Below are 19,748 nucleotides of genomic sequence, written 5' to 3'. Positions count from 1 at the left end.
GGGAACTGCCCTTTATAAAACCATTAGATCTCATGAGACTTATTCACTATCATGAGAACAGCATGGGAAAAATCCACCCTTATGATTCAATTACCTCCCACCAGGTTCCTCCCACAACACATGGGGATTGTGGGAGCTACATTTCAAGATGAGATTTAGGTGGGGACACAGCCAACGCATATCAGAAGCATCTTCCAGTAGCCCTTACATCCTGTGCCTAAACACAAGATTAATGTTTTCCAACTCAAAGGAGTCCGAGGTGTGTAGAGACTGGAGCAGTCCTCCAGTACAGCACAGCAGCTCTCTGAAGAAGCAGGAAGACTGCATTTTCATGCAGGTCCTGGATCCCATTTCTCTTCACTGGGTAGAATCTCCCAGCCAAGGTCTACAAGCACCTCTGCTGGTGTTTTCCAGCTAGTAACAGCTTCAAACTTCCCTGAGACAGAGCTCCCAGAGGTAGGGACAGACCATCATCTTTGCTGTTTCACAACCTTCACTGTTGATACTTTCAGGTGCTAGAAAATCCAAGGTGAGTAGGAACTGGAGCAGACCCCCAGCACACTGCAGCAGCCCTGTGAAAAAGTAGCCAGAGTGTTTGTTATGTGGCTCCCTAATCCTGTATCTCCTCACTGGATGTGGCCTCCTGGCCTAAGACTCCACTATTCCCCACTGGGGCTACTGAGCCAGTAATAGCTCTGCAATTGCCTGGGACAGAACTCCCAGTGGGAAGGGTGGATTACCATCTTTGCTGTCTTGCAGCCATCACCCTTGCTGTCTCCAGGCTCTAGAGAGTCTGCAGGCACCAGGGGCTTGTCCAGACCTCCAGTACAGAACACCTACCTCACAGAAAAGTGACTGGATTGTTCTCCATACAGGTCCTGGTCCTCACTTATCCTCACTGGTTAGGGCTGCCTGATCTCAGACTCTAGCACAATAACCCTGCTCCTGCCTGACCACTTCAATCAGAAGCAGCCCAGCAGTTAAAAGAATACCCACATGCAGAGATGAGAAAGAACCAGCACAAGAACTCCAACAACTCCAATAGTCAGAGTGTCTTATATCCTCCAAATGTCTGCACTAGTTCTTTAACAAGGGTTTGTTACAAAGCTTAGTTGTCTGAAATGACAGAAATAGAATTCAGAATATGGATAGGAACAAGGATTGTTAAAATTTAGGAGAATGGCAAACTCATCTCAAGAAAACTAAGAATCACAATATAATTATTCAGGAGCTGATAGAAAAAATAGCCAATATAAAAGAGAACCTAACTGACCTGATAGAGCTGCAAAACACATTACAAGAATTTCACAATACAATTGCAAGTATTAACAGCAGAACAGACCAAGCTAAGGAAGGAATCTCAGAACTTTTAGACTGGCTTTTTGAAATAAGGCAGTCAGACAAAAATAAAGAAAAAAACAATGAAAAGGAACAAACAAAACCTCTGAGAAATATGGGATTATGTAAACAGGCCAAATCTATTAATCATTGTCATTCCTGAAAGGTATGAGGAGAAAGCAAACAACTTGGAAAACATATTTCAGGATATTGTCCATGAAAACTTCCCCAACCTTCTTAGAGAGGCCAACAGTCAAATTCAGAAAACACAGAAAATCCCTGCAAGATTCTACGCAAGAAGATCATCTCCAAGATGCATAATCATCAGATTTTCCAAGGTTGAAATGAAAGAAAGAATGCTAAAGGCAGCTAGAGAGAAAGGACTGGTCACCTACAAAGGGAACACCATCAGACTAACAACAGACTTCTCAGCAGAAACTCTACGAACCAGAAGAGATTAGGGGGCCTATATTCAAAGTTCTTAAGGAAAAAAAAATCTTCAACCAGGAATTTCATATCCAACCAAACTAAGCTTCCCTAGTAAAGGAGAAATAAGATCCTTTTCCGACAAGCAAATGCTAAGGGAGTCTGTTATCACCAGACCTGCCTTACAAAAGATCTTGAAAGGAACACTAAATATAGAAAGGAAAGGCTGTTAGCAGTCAGTGCAAAAACATACTTAAGTACACAGACCAGGGACACTAAAATGCAACCACACAAACAAGCTGGCGTAACAACCAGCTATCAACACAATGACAGGATCAAATGCACATATATCAATATTAACCTTGAATGTAAATGGATTACGTGCCCCATTTAAAAGGCACAGAATGGCACGCTGGATAAAAAAAGCATGACCCAAGGACATGCTGTCTTCAAGAGACCCATTCCACATGCAATGAGACCTATAGCCTCAAAATAAAGGGATGGAGGAAAATCTACCTAGAAAATGGAAATCAGAAAAAAGCAGGAGTTGCAATCCTAACTTCAGATAAAAACAGACTTTAAAACAACAAAGATCAAACAAACAAAAAAAGCCCAAAGAAGGTCATTACATATTGGTAAAGAGTTCAATTTAACAAGACCTAATTATTCTAAATATATATGCATCCAACACAGGAGCACCCAGATTCATAAAGCAAATTCTTAAGAGACCTACAAAAATACTTATACTCTCACACAATAATAGTGGGAGACTTAAACACCCCACTGCCATTATTCAACAGATCACTGAGGCAGGAAATTAACAAAGATATTCAGAACCTGAACTCAATATTGGACCAAATGGACCTGATATACATCTACAGAACTCTCCACTCAAAAACAGAATATATATTCTTCTCATCACTACATGGCACATACTCAAATCGAGCACACGATCAGACATAAAACAATCCTTAGCAAATGCAAAACAACCAAAATCATACTAAACACACTCTCAGATCATAGCACAATAAAAATAGAAATCGAGACAAAAAATCACCCAAAACCATGCAATTACATGGAAATTAAACCACCTGCTCCTGAATGACTTTGGGGTAAATAATGAAATTAAGGCAGAAATCAAGAAGTTCTTTGATACTAATGAGAACAAAGACACAACATAACAGAATTTCTGGTACATAGTTAAGGTAGTGTTAAGAGGGAAATACACAGCACTAAACACACACATCAAAAAGCTAGAAAGGTATCAAATTAACAACCCAACATCACAACTAAAAGAACTATAGAAGCAAGAGTGAAGCAACTCTAAACTAGCAGAAGACAAGAAATGAAAATCAGAGCTGAACTGAAGAATATTGAGACATGAAAAATCATTCAAAAGATCAATGAATCCAGGAGCTTGTTCTTTGAAAAAGCTAATAATAATAGATAGGTCACTAGTTAGATTAATAAAGAAGAAAAGAGACAATATCAATTAGAAATGACAAAGGAGATGTAACCACAGATGCCACAGAAATACAAACAACCATCAGAGACTACTACAAACACCTCTACGCACACACATTTAAAAACCTAGAAGAGATAGATAAGTCCCTGGACACATACATCCTCCCAAGACTGAACCAGGAAGAAACAGAATCCCTTAACAGGCCAGTAACAAGCTCTGAAATTGAAACAAGAATAAATAACCTACCAACCAAAACAAGTGCAGGGACAGAGAGATTCATAGCCGAATTCTACCAGATGTACAAAGAAGAGCTGGTGCAATTCCTACTGAAGCTATTCTAAAAAACTGTGGAGGAGGGAATCCTCCCCAGCTTATTCTGTGATGCCAGCATCATCCTGATATCAAAGCCTGGCAGACACACAAAATAAGAAAACCTCAGGCCAATATCCTTGATGAACACTGATGCAAAAATCCTCAACAAAATGCTAGCAAACCAAATCCAGCAGCACATCAAAAAGTTAATCCACCACAATCAAGTAGGCTTTATCCCTGGGATGCAAGGTTGGTTCAACATACACAAATCAATAAATGTGATTAATCACATAAACAGAATTAAAGACAAAAGCCACATGATTATCTCAATAGATGCAGAAAAGGCTTTTGATAAAATTCAATACCTCTTTATGTTAAAAATTCTTAATAAACTAGGCCTTGAAGGAACATACTTCAAAATAATAAGATCCATCTATGACAAACCCACAGGCAACATAATACTGAATGGATAAAAACTGGAAGCATTCCCTTGAAAACTGGCACAAGACATGAATACCCTTTCTCACCACTTCTATTCAACATAGCATTGGTAGTCCTGATCAGAGCAATCAAGCAGAGAAAGAGCAATCAGGCAGAGAAAGAAATAAAGCACATCCAAATAGGAAGAGAGGAAGTCAGACTATCTCGGGTTGCAGACAACATGAACCTATACCTAAAAAAATCCATCTTTTTGGCCCCAAAGCTCCTTAAGCTGAGAAACAACTTCAGCAAATTTTCAGGATACAAAAATCAACATATAAAAATCACTAACATTCCTACACACCAGCAACAGCCAAGCCGAGAGCCAAATCAGGAATGCAATCCCATTCACAATTGTCACAAAAAGAATAAAATACCTAGGGATACAGCTAACCAGGGAGGTAAAGATGTCTACAGTGAGAATTACAAAATACTGCTCAAAGAAATCAGAGATGACACAAACAAATGGAAAAACATTCCGTGCTCATGGATCAGAAGAATCAATATTACAATGGCCACACTGCCCAAAGCAATTTAAAGATCCAATGCTATTCCTATTAAACTACCAATGACATTCTTTACATAACTAGCAGAAACTATTTTAAAATTCATATGGAACCAAAAAGAGCTCGAATAGCCAGGGCAATTCTAAGCAAAAAGAACAAAGCTGGAGGTATCACATTCCCCAACCTCAACATGTTACCCTGTTACTACAGGGCTACAGTAATTGAAACAGCATGATACTGGTACAAAAACAGATGCATAGACCTGTGGAATAGAATAGAGAGCCCAGAAATAAGGCCACATACCTATAACTATCTGATTTTTGACAAAGCTGAGAAAAAACAAGCAATGGGGAAAAGACTGCCTATTCAATAAATGGTGCTGGGATAACTTGCTAGCCATATGAAGATGATCGAAACTAGACCCCTTCCTTACACCATATACAAAAATTAACTCAAGATGGATTAAAGATTTAAATGTAAACCCCAAAACTATAAAAATCCTGGAATACAACCTAGGCAATACCATTCTGGACATAGAAATGGCAAATATTTAATGATGAAGATGCCAAAAGCAACTGCAACTAAAGCTAAAATTGACAAATGGGATCTAAATAAACTTAAGAGCTTCTGCACAACAAAAGAAACTATCAACAGAGTAAACAAACAAACTACAGAACAGGAGAAAATCCTTGCAAACTATGCATCTAACAAAGGTCTAATATCCAGCATTTATAAGGAATGTAAACAAATTTTCAAGAGAAAAACAAACAACCCTATTAAAAAGTGGGCAAGGGACATGAATAGACATTTTTCTGAAGACAGATACGTGACCAACAAAAATATGAAAAAGAGCTCAGTATCAGTGATCATTAGAGAAATGCAAATGAAAACGCCAATGAGATACCATCTCATGCCAGTCAGAATGGCTACTACTAAAAAGTCAAAAAATAACAGACGCTGGCAAGGTTATGGAGAAAAGAGAATGCTTATATGCTGTTGGTGGGAGTGTAAATTAGTTCAACCATCGTGGAAAGCAGTGTGGCGATAATGAGCTAAAAACAGAACTACCATTTGACCTAGCAATCTCATTACTGGGTGTATACCCAGAGGAATATAAATTGTTCTAGCATAAAGACACATGCATGTGTATATTCGTTGCAGCACTATTCACAATAGCAAGACATGGAATCAACCTAAATGCCCATCAACGGCAGATTGGATAAAGAAAATGTGGTACATATATACCACAGAATACTATGCAGCCATAAAAAATATTCCATGGACTACTATGCATCCATAAAAAAGAATGAGATCATGTTCTCTGGAGGAACATGAATGGAGCTAAAGGTCATTATCCTTTGCAAACTAACACAGGAACAGAAAACCAAATACCACATGTTCTCACTTACAAGTAGGAGCTAAATGATGAGAACACATGGACACAAAGAGGGGAACAGCAAACACTGGAACCTTCTGGGGGTGGAGGGTGGGAGGAGGGAAAGGATCAGAAAAAATAATTATTGGGTACTAGGCCTAGTACCCAGGTGAAGAAATAATCTGTACAACGAACTCCTATGACATGTGTTTACCTATATAGCAAACCTACAGATGTACCACTAAACCTAAAATGAAAGTTAAAGAACACTATTAAAAATTGACCAAAGATTTTGTACAGTTTATCAAAAAAGATAAATAGATGGTAGATAAGCACATGAAATGATGCTCAATTTCATTTGTTATTAGGGAAATGTAAAAATCACAATGAGATTCTATTTCATACCTCTTAGAATGTCTAAAATGAAAGACCAACTCTACCAAGTGCTGGTGAGAATGTAGAGCAACTAGAACTTTCACAGTTCATAGCTGGTGTAAATGTAAAATGATACAATCATTTTGGTAAACAGTTTAGCAATTTCATCAAAAGGTAGACATACACCTACCATCTAATCCAGCAGTCTATTCCTAGGTCATTATGTGAGAGAAGTAAAAGCATATGTCCATACAAAGCACATGAATGTTCATGGCAGCTTTACTTGTAATATCTCAAACTGAAAATAACCCAAATGTTCATTAATAGGCAAGGGATAAACAAAAAGTGGCATATCTATGCAATGGAATAGTACTCAGCAATAAAAAGATTGAATTATTAATACATACAACATGAATTAATCTCAAAAATAATTATTCTGATTGAAAGAAGTAAAAGCGGAGTACCTTCTGTATGATGCTTATTTCTATAAAATCCTAGAAAATCTAAACTAATGTAGTGTGACAAAACAGATCAACACCTGCCTGGGGATTGGGGGGATGGGTGGCAGGGAGTGGAGGCAGGAGAGGTTACAAAGGGGTACAGGCAAGGTTTTGAGGTGACAGATACGTTCATTATTTTGATTGACTATGGTAAATGGTTTCACAAATGTATATATATGTCAAATACTGTCAAATTGTGTGCTTTAAACATATGCAGTTAATTACATACAATTATTCCTCAGTGAAACTGCTTAAATAATTTCTGGAATCTGCTACTTTTCTCCATGTCTATTAACCACACGCGAGTGGCCTTCTATAATAGATTGACCATCCCCTCACTCTCCCCTCCTGTCCATTCCTCACTGCAGCCAGAGTGATTTTTTAAAAAAGTAAATTTCTATGTGTCAATTCACTGCCCAAAATTACTCATAAAGACTCAAAGACTTATTCTTGTCTTAAAAATCTTAATTATTCTTGCTCCTTCCTGAGTTCTGGTCTCTCTTCCATTTTATTTCCCTATCTTTAACCACCCTGCACTTTTTGTCCCCTGAACTTGCCAAAACTGTTCCTGTCTTGGGGCCTTTCCACATTCCTGTTCCTTTTGCGTGGGACTCTGCCCTTCTTCAGGCAAATGCCTAACTATCCTTTTGTCTCAGCTTCAATGTTATTTCCTCCAAGCATCCTTCTTTAATATACCAGGCCAGGTTAGGTGCCACAGGAAGCGCTTGCCTACGTTTCCTCTGCAGCACCAATAACACATGTGAGTAATTATCTGTGCAATGTTATGTTTCACTATCTGTCCCTTCTTCCCACATTTCCATCTCCCAAAACCAAAAGCCCCAAGAGGGTAAGGGCCATTATGTGCTTGATGTCCAATACATTGCCTGGCAGACAGTGAGTATTCAAAAACATTTGTTGAATGATGATGGAGACAAAACTGCAACTAACTTCCTGACCCAGAACTCACTTCCTGACTTGCAAATTGGATTTTTCTCAGCCCACTCATGCAAAATTCATCCTTCCATATCTGATAGCCATATGTACTTGTCCTATAGCTATTTAGGTCTCAAACTGGTAAGCATTAAGAAATGTGTAATAGAGGAGTATCTTTACATATTAAAGACTTCAAAACCAAAGTATTAGACTTTTTATAAAAGAAGGTTAGCAATGTTTACCAGAGCCAAATTCATAGATCTGTTCAGTTTTTAAAGTCAGTCATGCTCATCTTAAAGATACATTTATTCTGGAAGCTACATTTCAAGACAGGTAACATAGGAGAAAACCAGGTTAGAGAGCCAGGGCCTTATAGAAAACGAAGTCATAGCTCCTTGCTGAAGGCAGACTGACCCTTGATCCAGCACTACCATGTCTTTAGCAAAGCAGTGGCCTAGATTCTCCACATAGCTGAGTGTGTGGAGCTGGAAAGATAAAGATTGCAAATATGGCCACTTTCCAAAACAGCTTCCTAAGAAACAGCCTACCTTCCCCTCCCTCTCACTCCCCCACTATGTTTATTTAGACTCCCCTTAATTAGTGAATTTCAGCCTGGAAGCATAATCCAATCTGAAGGAAAATTTCCCTGGAGAGCCATCTGTTAGAATTAGACTACACTTAGCTACTGGACAGTAAGGCTGTATTGTAAATACCACAAACTGTTTCGATTCTCGAAAGGTTGAAAACTCATTTTCCAAGCAAGCAAATGCCAATCCATGGGACAAGGCTTTCTGTCAGGAAACTGGATCACTATTTTGGATAGTAATACTTCCATAGGTAGAAGACCATTAAATGTAGTCCCAGGGGAATGTTCTCCCTTACTGGTCTCACCTTTCTTCAGAGATGAAATTGCTGACCTTGACAACTCTATTTCTTTTACAGCTGTTCCAGGTTTGTAGAAGATTTGTTTTTTTCATCTAGCTCAACCCTCCCCATGTGTTCAGCCATGGAATAATTTAACTGTGTGAAGGGGATGCAGCAAAAGTCCACCTCAGCTCTCTGCAAAGCCAACCTGCCTCTCAGGAGCATCCAGCCTGCTGTGCAGACACCTGTCTTTGGTAGCCACAACGCCAAGGCAGCAAGCCAACTCTCACCTAGGAAAGGAGTATGTGGGGTGGGAGGTGAGGGGAAGAGGATCCCTCTTCTCTTTCTCCTTCCTTTTCCTATATCTCAGAGGTCATGGGAGTCAGGGTCCCACCTATGTTCCCATAACCCCTTTCCCATTGTCCTGTCACACTGCAATAGACCCTATTGTTCCCTGCCTACATCCCCTTTGACAAAGCCAGTGCATCCATTCCTTAGCGGCTATGAGCATTGGCTGCGAACAGTTCATGGCTCTATATTTCTTGGGAAAATTCTCCTCAGCTGATGGGAACCATCTTGAAAATGACAGGCAAGTTATACCCTTTCCCAGAGGAGTCCTACAGCCCATGAAAGACTAGCACAGGGTAAAACGGCGGCCCCCTCGTCTCAGGGTGGGATACCTCAGTGGTGCTCTTCACGCTCCAGAGCTCCTTGTGGCATCAGGCTCAGGAAAGGCTTTAGCTGATACACCTTTGCCTCGCTCTCTCCCTTCACCCACCTGCCTCCCTTTCTTCTTTATGGGTTTCACTTGAGGGCAGTCCTTCACTAAGTCACTTGCACGAGAATCCCTCTCAGCTTCTGCTTCCAGGAATTCCAAATTAAGATTCACACGCCATATTGGAGCTATTTTAGTTTCCTTCATTCACCTGTGCACTCAAAAATAATTTTACTATCCACCTCTTAGGTTAAATAATAGGAATATAGTTACAGACTTCCTCTTCAAGGATCAACTATTCTAGTGTGGTAGGCAGAGATACATAGATACTTACAATCTAATGTGGTAACTGTGGTGAAGAGGGACATATAGGATGCTTGAAGAGCACACAAGAAGCATCTCATCTATTCCGGGTGCATATATAGAGGGGTTGCTTAATGAGGACTCCTAATGTAAATAGCTTTTATTTCAGACAGGGTGTCACTCTGTCCCCCAGGCTGGAGCGCAGTGGCACAATCATGGTTCATTGCAGCCTTGACCTCCCTGGGCTTAGGTGATGCTCCCACCTCAGCCCTCCAAGTAGGTGGGACTATAGGCACCCGCCACCATGTCTGGCTAATTTTTGTACTATTACATATTTTTTTTTGGTAGAAACGGGGTTTCACCATGTTGCCCAGGCTAGTCTCAAATTCCTCGGCTTGTGAATAGCCTTTAGTTAAACAAAGAGAAGTGGAAAAGTAAGGTTATTATAGGTAGAGAATGTGTGTGTGATTTCTTACAATACATACAATTAGAGAGAATTAGCTGAAATAATAGAAGGTAATTGGTTGTCTAAAACTTGTGGCAGACATTGCCACTAGATCCTAGTCTTCTCATTTCCTGATCCTTGATATTGCTTGTAAATCCTTCCTAACACAATACATTAGTCAGCTACCACCAGTTGACTGGTATTGGTCCTCAATATAAAAAATCCCTGCTATCCCTTTTGCACATTTTTTAATGTTTTATCTTTACACTTCTCCAAATCTACAAATTTACCTGAATTTGCTCTCATCTTTTTCCTATTAATTCCTATAACAAAGAAAATATTGTCCCCAGCTGGGTGCTGTGGCTCACGCCTGTAATCCCAGTACTTTGGGAGGCTGAGGAGAGTGGATCACTTGAGTCAGGAGTTCGAGACCAGCCTGGCCAACATGATGAAACCCCATCTCTACTAAAAATACAAAAATTAGCTGGGCATGGTGGTGGACACCTGTATTGCTTGAGGTCAGGAGTTCAAGACCAGCCTGGCCAACATGGTGAAACCCTGTCTCTACTAAAAATACAAAAATTAGCCAGGTGTAGTGGTGGGCACCTGTATTCCCAGCTACTCAGGAGGCTGAGGCAGGAGAATCGCTTGAACCCGGGAGGCAAAGGTTGCAGTGAGCCAAGATCACACCACTGCCCTCCAGCCTGGGGAACAAGAGGGAAACTCCATCTCAAAAGAAAATATTGTCCCCTTGTTTATCTAAAGTCAACCTCTACACCTATAGTTTAGATCCTGTTGGCTAACTTCTCAGAGAACTTGCTCTATTGATTATTCTTATCTATTCTATATCTTCCTAGATAGACAGAAATATTTTATATATTCCTGTATCTTCAAACTCGACGGTCACTCTTTTCATTAGATTTTTCTCATTTAATTCTTTATTTTCCTCCTCAAAAAGTGATTTTTAAATTTTTATTTATCTTTGATTTGCAGTTTCACCTCCTCCCAACCCCTCAATTCCCTCATATTGCCCCTTTGTCATCAACGCATCTCCCCATCCCCAAGCCCTGGCAAATGTTGATTTGTTCTCCATCCCTATAATTTTGCCTCTTTCATATAAGGAAAATATGCAGTACGTAGATTTTTGAGTCTTGCTTTTTTTCACTTAGCATTATACCCCTGATATCCATCCATGCTATTGTGTGTATATTATGCACACATTGAGTATTCCTTTCATTGCTGAGTAGCATTCCATTGTATGTATGTAATAGTTTATTGTTTTACCCATTGGAGGACATTTAGGTTGTTTCCAGTTTTTGTCAATTATGAGTAAAGCTGCTATGAACATTCACATATAGGTTCATGGAGAGTTTTTTTTTAAATAAGCATGTTTTAATTTCTCTTATAAATTTACCCTTTTTCAAATTCCACCCAAAATAAGGAAAACAAGGATAGATTTTTATAGAGAAAAATATCGCTATCCCCTGTTATCTTCTTTGAGCTGTGGAATCACCTCCACACATGTTCACAGGAATCCCAACAGAGCTGGCATGCTTTCTCAGCTTTCTTCCCTGTCCTCCCTTTTGTGGACCCAGTGTGACTAAATGAGATGGTGCATTTCAGACTCAGATTCAATAAAAGGTTCCTGAGCATCTCCTTCTGTGCTACTGGGGCAAATGCCACAGCTAACTTAAATTACATTTCTAACCCCTTCATCTGGCCACTTTCCAGCATACAGGCTGAAAAAGCTAAAAATATGCTTTCATTACTTTTCTTGAGTGTGAGGATGGTTTTGTGACAGAGCTTTGTCCAATAAGAAATAAGCGGAGACATTGGGATGACTTTTAGGACTGCTTTCTTTTTCCAGATGAAAAAGAGTCCCTAGAGGTACTTATCACTGCCTTCTTTCCTTGCCACTTTCCTTTTGTCTCAAATGCAGAAGTGACGTCGAGTCATATATTTTATAATTATCTGACTGAAAATACTATATGAGCAGAGAAGTTTAAAGAACTAAAAAGATGTCAAAAGTATGAAAATGGATCAAATAATTATACAAATGAACAAAGTTTTAAGAGTCAAAGCTTCTAGGAATGAAAATTACATCAATTTAAATGAGAAATTCAAGAAATTATTAAGTACTAATTGGAAACTGCTAAAGAAAGAATTAGCGTACTCAAAAACAGATGTAAAGAAATTACCCAGCTGCACTATCAATAGGAAAAAGAATAAACAAACAAACATGGAAGATAGAGTGAATAGGTCTAAAATATCTAAAGAGATTTCCAGGAGGAAAAGATAGAAAGCATCAGGGAGAGACAATATGCAAAGAGATCATGGCTGTGAATTTTCAGAATTGATGAGACACATCAGATTCCTGACACCCTATGAATCCTAAGAAAGATAAACAATAATTTTTAAAAATTCAACACCATTCATACTATAATCAAATTTCAGAGAAGTCTCGAAGTATGGCACAGAGAAAAGAGTGTTACACATAGAGAGCGGTTGATTTCTCAAAACCAGGAGTTTGGAGGCAAGATTCTAAAAGAATAGATACTGAGAAAAAAAATTATCCACACAAGATTTGCATACCTATGTTTTTTTCAGTTATTAATGTGAAATGGTAACATTTCCAAACAAGTAAAAACTGAGAGGGCTAACATCAACAGATCTTTAACTGAAGGAATTTCTCAAAAATGTACTAAACATAAAAAATAATCTAGAAGGAAAGTCTGAAGAAATAGTAAACCAAGAGAAGTGGTAAATATGTGGTAAATTTAAACAATCATTGGCTTTATAAAACATTAATTATAATGTCAAATTGCTGAGTGTAGAAAACCACGGCAAGATAGGAGTAAAATATCAGAAAATAATAGTTATGTCATCTGGAATGGAGGTAACTGGAGTCAAAGGTCCCAAAGTAAAAATATAGTTTTGACGGAGGTTTAATACACTGATTAACTTTTTACTTTATTAAATTAACAACGCATATTGTAATTTCTAGGAAAGTACTAAACAAGTAAAAACAGAGGTTGTATCTTATAAGTTGGTAGAAGGGAGAAAGTAAAATGGGGTCAAAACAATTTAAAAGAAGAAAAATATTTAAAAATTAGAATTTAAATGATGTAAAATGGTAGAAATAAATCCACATGTATTTATAATCACAATGACATAAATATACTAATCTCACTTGTTAGAAGTCAATGATTTTCAGAATGGATTTAAAAAAAATCCAGCTATACTTTGCTTACAACATTTACACTTAAAATATAAGGATGTAGGAAATTTGTAAGTTAAAAAAATAGAAATATACAAGACAAAACTAAAAGAAAAATTTTTTTTAAAATTATTATTATTATTATTATTATTTTTAATTATACTTTAAGTTTTAGGGTACATGTGCACATTGTGCAGGTTAGTTACATATGTATACATGTGCCATGCTGGTGCGCTGCACCCACTAACTCGTCATCTAGCATTAGGTATATCTCCCAATGCTATCCCTCCCCCCTCCCCCCTCCCCACCACAGTCCCCAGAGTGTGATATTCCCCTTCCTGTGTCCATGTGATCTCATTGTTCAATTCCCACCTATGAGTGAGAATATGCGGTGTTTGGTTTTTTGTTCTTGCGATAGTTTACTGAGAATGATGGTTTCCAATTTCATCCATGTCCCTACAAAGGACATGAACTCATCATTTTTTATGGCTGCATAGTATTCCATGGTGTATATGTGCCACATTTTCTTAATCCAGTCTATCATTGTTGGACATTTGGGTTGGTTCCAAGTCTTTGCTATTGTGAATAATGCCGCAATAAACATACGTGTGCATGTGTCTTTATAGCAGCATGATTTATAGTCCTTTGGGTATATACCCAGTAATGGGATGGCTGGGTCAAATGGTATTTCTAGTTCTAGATCCCTGAGGAATCGCCACACTGACTTCCACAATGGTTGAACTAGTTTACAGTCCCACCAACAGTGTAAAAGTGTTCCTATTTCTCCACATCCTCTCCAGCACCTGTTGTTTCCTGACTTTTTAATGATTGCCATTCTAACTGGTGTGAGATGATATCTCATAGTGGTTTTGATTTGCATTTCTCTGATGGCCAGTGATGATGAGCATTTTTTCATGTGTTTTTTGGCTGCATAAATGTCTTCTTTTGAGAAGTGTCTGTTCATGTCCTTCACCCACTTTTGGATGGGGTTGTTTGTTTTTTTCTTGTAAATTTGTTTGAGTTCATTGTAGATTCTGGATATTAGCCCTTTGTCAGATGAGTAGGTTGCGAAAATTTTCTCCCATGTTGTAGGTTGCCTGTTCACTCTGATGGTAGTTTCTTTTGCTGTGCAGAAGCTCTTTAGTTTAATTAGATCCCATTTGTCAATTTTGGCTTTGGTTGCCATTGCTTTTGGTGTTTTGGACATGAAGTCCTTGCCCACGCCTATGTCCTGAATGGTAATGCCTAGGTTTTCTTCTAGGGTTTTTATGGTTTTAGGTCTAACGTTTAAATCTTTAATCCATCTTGAATTGATTTTTGTATAAGGTGTAAGGAAGGGATCCAGTTTCAGCTTTCTACATATGGCTAGCCAGTTTTCCCAGCACCATTTATTAAATAGGGAATCCTTTCCCCATTGCTTGTTTTTGTCAGGTTTGTCAAAGATCAGATAGTTGTAGGTATGTGGCGTTATTTCTGAGGGCTCTGTTCTGTTCCATTGATCTATATCTCTGTTTTGGTACCAGTACCATGCTGTTTTGGTTACTGTAGCCTTGTAGTATAGTTTGAAGTCAGGTAGTGTGATGCCTCCAGCTTTGTTCTTTTGGCTTAGGATTGACTTGGCGATGCGGGCTCTTTTTTGGTTCCATATGAACTTTAAAGTAGTTTTTTCCAATTCAAAGGATCAACAAAATTGATAGACCGCTAGCAAGACTAATAAAGAAAAAAAGAGAGAAGAATCAAATAGGCACAATAAAAAATGATAAAGGGGATATCACCACCGATCCCACAGAAATACAAACTACCATCAGAGAATACTACAAACACCTCTACGCAAATAAACTAGAAAATCTAGAAAAAATGGATACATTCCTCAACACATACACTCTCCCAAGACTAAACCAGGAAGAAGTTGAATCTCTGAATAGACCAATAACAGGAGCTGAAATTGTGGCAATAATCAATAGTTTACCAACCAAAAAGAGTCCAGGACCAGATGGATTCACAGCCGAATTCTATCAAAGGTACAAGGAGGAACTGGTACCATTCCTTCTGAAACTATTCCAATCAATAGAAAAAGAGGGAATCCTCCCTAACTCATTTTATGAGGCCAGCATCATTCTGATACCAAAGCCGGGCAGAGACACAACCAAAAAAGAGAATTTTAGACCAATATCCTTGATGAACATTGATGCAAAAATCCTCAATAAAATACTGGCAAAATGAATCCAGCAGCACATCAAAAAGCTTATCCACCATGATCAAGTGGGCTTCATCCCTGGGATGCAAGGCTGGTTCAATATACACAAATCAATAAATGTAATCCAGCATATAAACAGAGCCAAGGACAAAAACCACATGATTATCTCAATAGATGCAGAAAAAGCCTTTGACAAAATTCAACAACCCTTCATGCTAAAAACTCTCAATAAATTAGGTATTGATGGGACGTATTTCAAAATAATAAGAGCTATCTATGACAAACCCACAGCCAATATCATACTGAATGGGCAAAAACTGGAAGCATTCCCTTTGAAAACTGGCACAAGACAGAGATGCCCTCTCTCACCGCTCCTATTCAACATAGTGTTGGAAGTTCTGGCCAGGGCAATCAGGCAGGAGAAGGAAATAAAGGGTATTCAATTAGGAAAAGAGGAAGTCAAATTGTCCCTGTTTGCAGACGACATGATTGTATATCTAGAAAACCCCATCGTCTCAGCCCAAAATCTCCTTAAGCTGATAAGCAACTTCAGCAAAGTCTCAGGATACAAAATCAATATACAAAAATCACAAGCATTCCTATACACCAACAACAGACAAACAGAGAGCCAAATCATGAGTGAACTCCCATTCACAATTGCTTCAAAGAGAATAAAATACCTAGGAATCCAACTTACAAGGGATGTGAAGGACCTCTTCAAGGAGAACTACAAACCACTGCTCAAGGAAATAAAAGAGGATACAAACAAATGGAAGAACATTCCATGCTCATGGGTAGGAAGAATCAATATCGTGAAAATGGCCATACTGCCCAAGGTAATTTACAGATTCAATGCCATCCCCATCAAGCTACCAATGACTTTCTTCACAGAATTGGAAGAAAAATTTTTAAACTTTATAAATGCCAAAGAACACTTGAAGGCCTAAAAAGCATTTCTCTATATAGAGACACTAAATAATAACAAAATGTTGAAAAGACCAGACATATATAAAAAGTACTAATATCATATTTTTACATATATACATTAAGCAGAAATTTTGATAGAACTAAAGATGAAATTGAAAATCCACCATCATAGTAGGAGATGAAAAACACATTTTATCAATAACTGATATATTAGACTGAGGAAAAATATTATTCAAGATGTAGATATGAGTGAGACATAATCTTTTCAAGAGCACCTAGCACATTTATAAAAACTGATGTGTAAGAGAACATAAAGCAAATTTGAACAGATATCAAATAATCTATAAAATACACTCCATATTATCCAATCACATTTTTAATTAAGTTACAGAAATAATGCTTAAAAAAACTATGCAATATGAAATTTTAAAAACACACCTTTAAACAATATATAGACCAAAGAAAAACTCATATTTGATGCTAGAAGATGCTTAGATAAAAATAAAAATGAAAACACTAAATATCAAAATTTGCAAACATAAAGCTAAAGCACTACTTCAAGGGAAATTTATAGTCTTAAATGCATATTTTAAAAAAGTTTTTAAAAGACTGCAAATTACTAACCTAAAGATATAAGTAATTATTAAAAATATCAACTGAATAGACTAAAGAAAAAAGAAAGAAAATCATACAGGAAAAATAATGGAAAACAAAAATTAAATAGAATTAATAGAATTAAAAGTTGGTTATTTGAAAAGGCCAATAAGACTGATAAACTCCAGTGACACTGATCAATGAGAAAGTGAACAGGGATAAATAATCTATATTAGAAATGAGAATAAGGACATAACCAGAAATAAGGCAGAAATAAGAAGAAAAAATTATGAAGAACTTTAAGACAATACATTCAAAACATAGATGAAATAAGCAAATTTCTAGAAAAATCTAAATCACCAAAATCAATTCTCAATGAAATAAAAAATAATTTGGTATTATAATCATCAAATAAATTGAATTAATTTCCCCTAAAGTAAATATCTGACCCAGAAAGTTATACTAGAAAGTTCTACTAAACATTGACAGAAAAGATTATTTCAATCATACACAAAATGACACAAAATCTTTAAGAGACTAGGAAAAGAGATAATGTGCCATAACTCATTTTTAAGGCTTGTACACCTTTAATAATAAAATGCAGATTAAGAGAGAAAAAAAAATCACAGTTTGATCTCACTCACAAGTTTAGTCACAAAATTTTTAAAATATTAGCAAACCAAATAGCTGAACACACACACGCATACACACACACATTCATGTATATCCATGTATATAAAAAAGCAACACATTGTGAACAAGTTGGATTTATCTCAGAAATACAAGTTTTCATAAAAAGTATAAAATATAGCAATATAATTTATTACTTTAAAAGATAAAAGGAACAAAACACATGATTCTCTCAATAGATACAGAAAATCAACTGATAAAATTCAATATCCATTCAGGTTTTCAAAAAGTCTATAGCCAATGTCCTACTTAGTGATGAATAATCAAAGCATTTTTTTCAAGAACAGAAACAAACCAAGGTTTACTCCACTGGCATTTGTATTGGTGATTGTAATAAATGTAATAAAACAAGCAAAAAAGATGAGGTAGGGAGAGCAAGCAAAATAATTAAAAAAGAAAGAAGAAACAAAATTGTCCTTATTCATGCATAGTATTATTGTGAATGTACAAAACTCAAAAGAATCTGTGGTCAAATTATTAGAATTATAGTGTATAGCAAGTCCAAGTGTTAGAGAGAACATAGTCTAAGATGGTCTCAAATACTGCTAGTGGGATTGTAAGTGGTCAAACTTCTTAGAGATACAATTTACTTCAACCTAGCAACTCCATTCCTAGGTATATACTTTACAGAAATTCCTGCATGTATTTACCAGGAGACACATACAAGAAAGATTAATAGCAGCATTTTCTGAAATAGAAAAAAACTTAAAATTAATTCAAATAACCATTGACAGAAGAAAGATAAATTGTTGTAGACCATATAATATGGAATGCTAAAATCATGCTGCAAAACAACAAAAAAGAACTAGTTATGTACATGAACATAAATTATTTTAATACACATAATATTGAACATAACAGTTTGCAGAAGAACAAACACAATATAGTATCTTTCACATAAATTTCAACAATAGGCAAAACTGAATAGCCTATTCTTAAGTGGTAAAATGATTTTTAAAAACAGGGAATTATACATATAAAATTCAGTATACAGATAATCTCTTAGGGGGATTTGGAGGAGCGGCACATAGGAAGCTTCAAAGAGACTGATAATGTTCTCTTTCTTCAGCTAAATTCTGGACTGACTGATGTTTACATATTGGCTAATATATTGGTGGTTCATATCTTGATGGTATATATTTTATTAAAAAAACCAAACACTTTGTCCTGGCACCCTCACTAGAATAAAAGCTATTAAAGTCTCTTCGTCAGAGACCTGTAGCTTCATCAATCCCTTCCTTCAGTTGTGCTGTTCTACAGTGCTGCCACTTTTCACTCCCTCTGAATAATCTAGACATCAAGGGGATAACATGTCTGAGGGATCACAAGTGGGAAAAATGATAGGGTGAGATTCAGTGGACTCTCATAAAGATACAGCTCAGTAGACCCTAGTGGTATCCAGACTTCACCCACATTATAGAAGGAACCTGGCTTCCCTCTTGGCAGCTGGAAACCATGGCTTTCTGTGGTGTTTTTCGAGTTGCTTGTCCCTTAGGATCAGTTAAGCAGCCGGTCCTTTTTGCATTTTCAGCACTACGTGTAGTGGTGTCCTGGAGCTGGCTCCTATAAGCTGGCAGCAGCCTGGGGAGTCAATTGTGGGTGAGCATCTCTTGCCAACTCTGCTTTCAGTGATGTCACATTGGCAACTTGAAATCAGCCCTGCTGGGAGTATTTACAACCCAGGAATCACCAAATGCTAAAATCAGGTCCCCTTCCTTCCCCCATCCCTGCCCCACAACGAGTTGTTAAGCATCTACCAGGACACCACCGAATGTAACACAACCTTAAAATCATACGGAGGTAGGACACAAGCAGGACTTATTTCCCACTGGGATGAAGTGAAGGAACCAGCAAGAGCCAGCAGATAGCAAGGAAAGTGATCCCTAGTTGCCCTCATTGCTCATTTACATCATACACTCCTACCAGCACCATGACAGTTTACAAATGCCATGGCAACAACCCAGAAGTTACCACCTTTCCATGGCAATGACTCAGAAGTTACTGACCCTTTCCTAGAAAGTCCTAAATAACCCACCCCTCTATTTGCATTAACCCGCCCTTTAATTTGTATGTAATTGGAAGTGGG

The 19,748-nt window shown here is 37.5% G+C and overlaps 1 protein-coding gene across 9 annotated transcripts in view; it reads right to left on the bottom strand.

The window, feature by feature from the left end:
* Nucleotides 1-19,748, bottom strand: part of SYT9 (synaptotagmin 9) — a 230,266-nt gene that overhangs the window by 127,561 nt on the left and 82,957 nt on the right. Inside the window, exon 4 of one of the 9 annotated variants that reach the window (XM_011519907.3) lies at nucleotides 17,774-19,321. The exons of the other annotated variants lie outside the window; for them this stretch is intronic. Within the exon in view, the coding sequence (XP_011518209.1) occupies nucleotides 19,316-19,321 (6 nt within the window). The 3' untranslated portion in view covers nucleotides 17,774-19,315. Of the gene's footprint in view, nucleotides 1-17,773; nucleotides 19,322-19,748 lie in introns of those variants that run through there. 9 annotated transcript variants of the gene reach the window in all.

The sequence above is a fragment of the Homo sapiens genome, chromosome 11, assembly GCF_000001405.40.
Source record: "Homo sapiens chromosome 11, GRCh38.p14 Primary Assembly".
NCBI lineage: Eukaryota > Metazoa > Chordata > Mammalia > Primates > Hominidae > Homo > Homo sapiens.
Note: the sequence above shows the minus strand (reverse complement) of the source record. Positions and strands in the feature narration are given on the sequence as shown.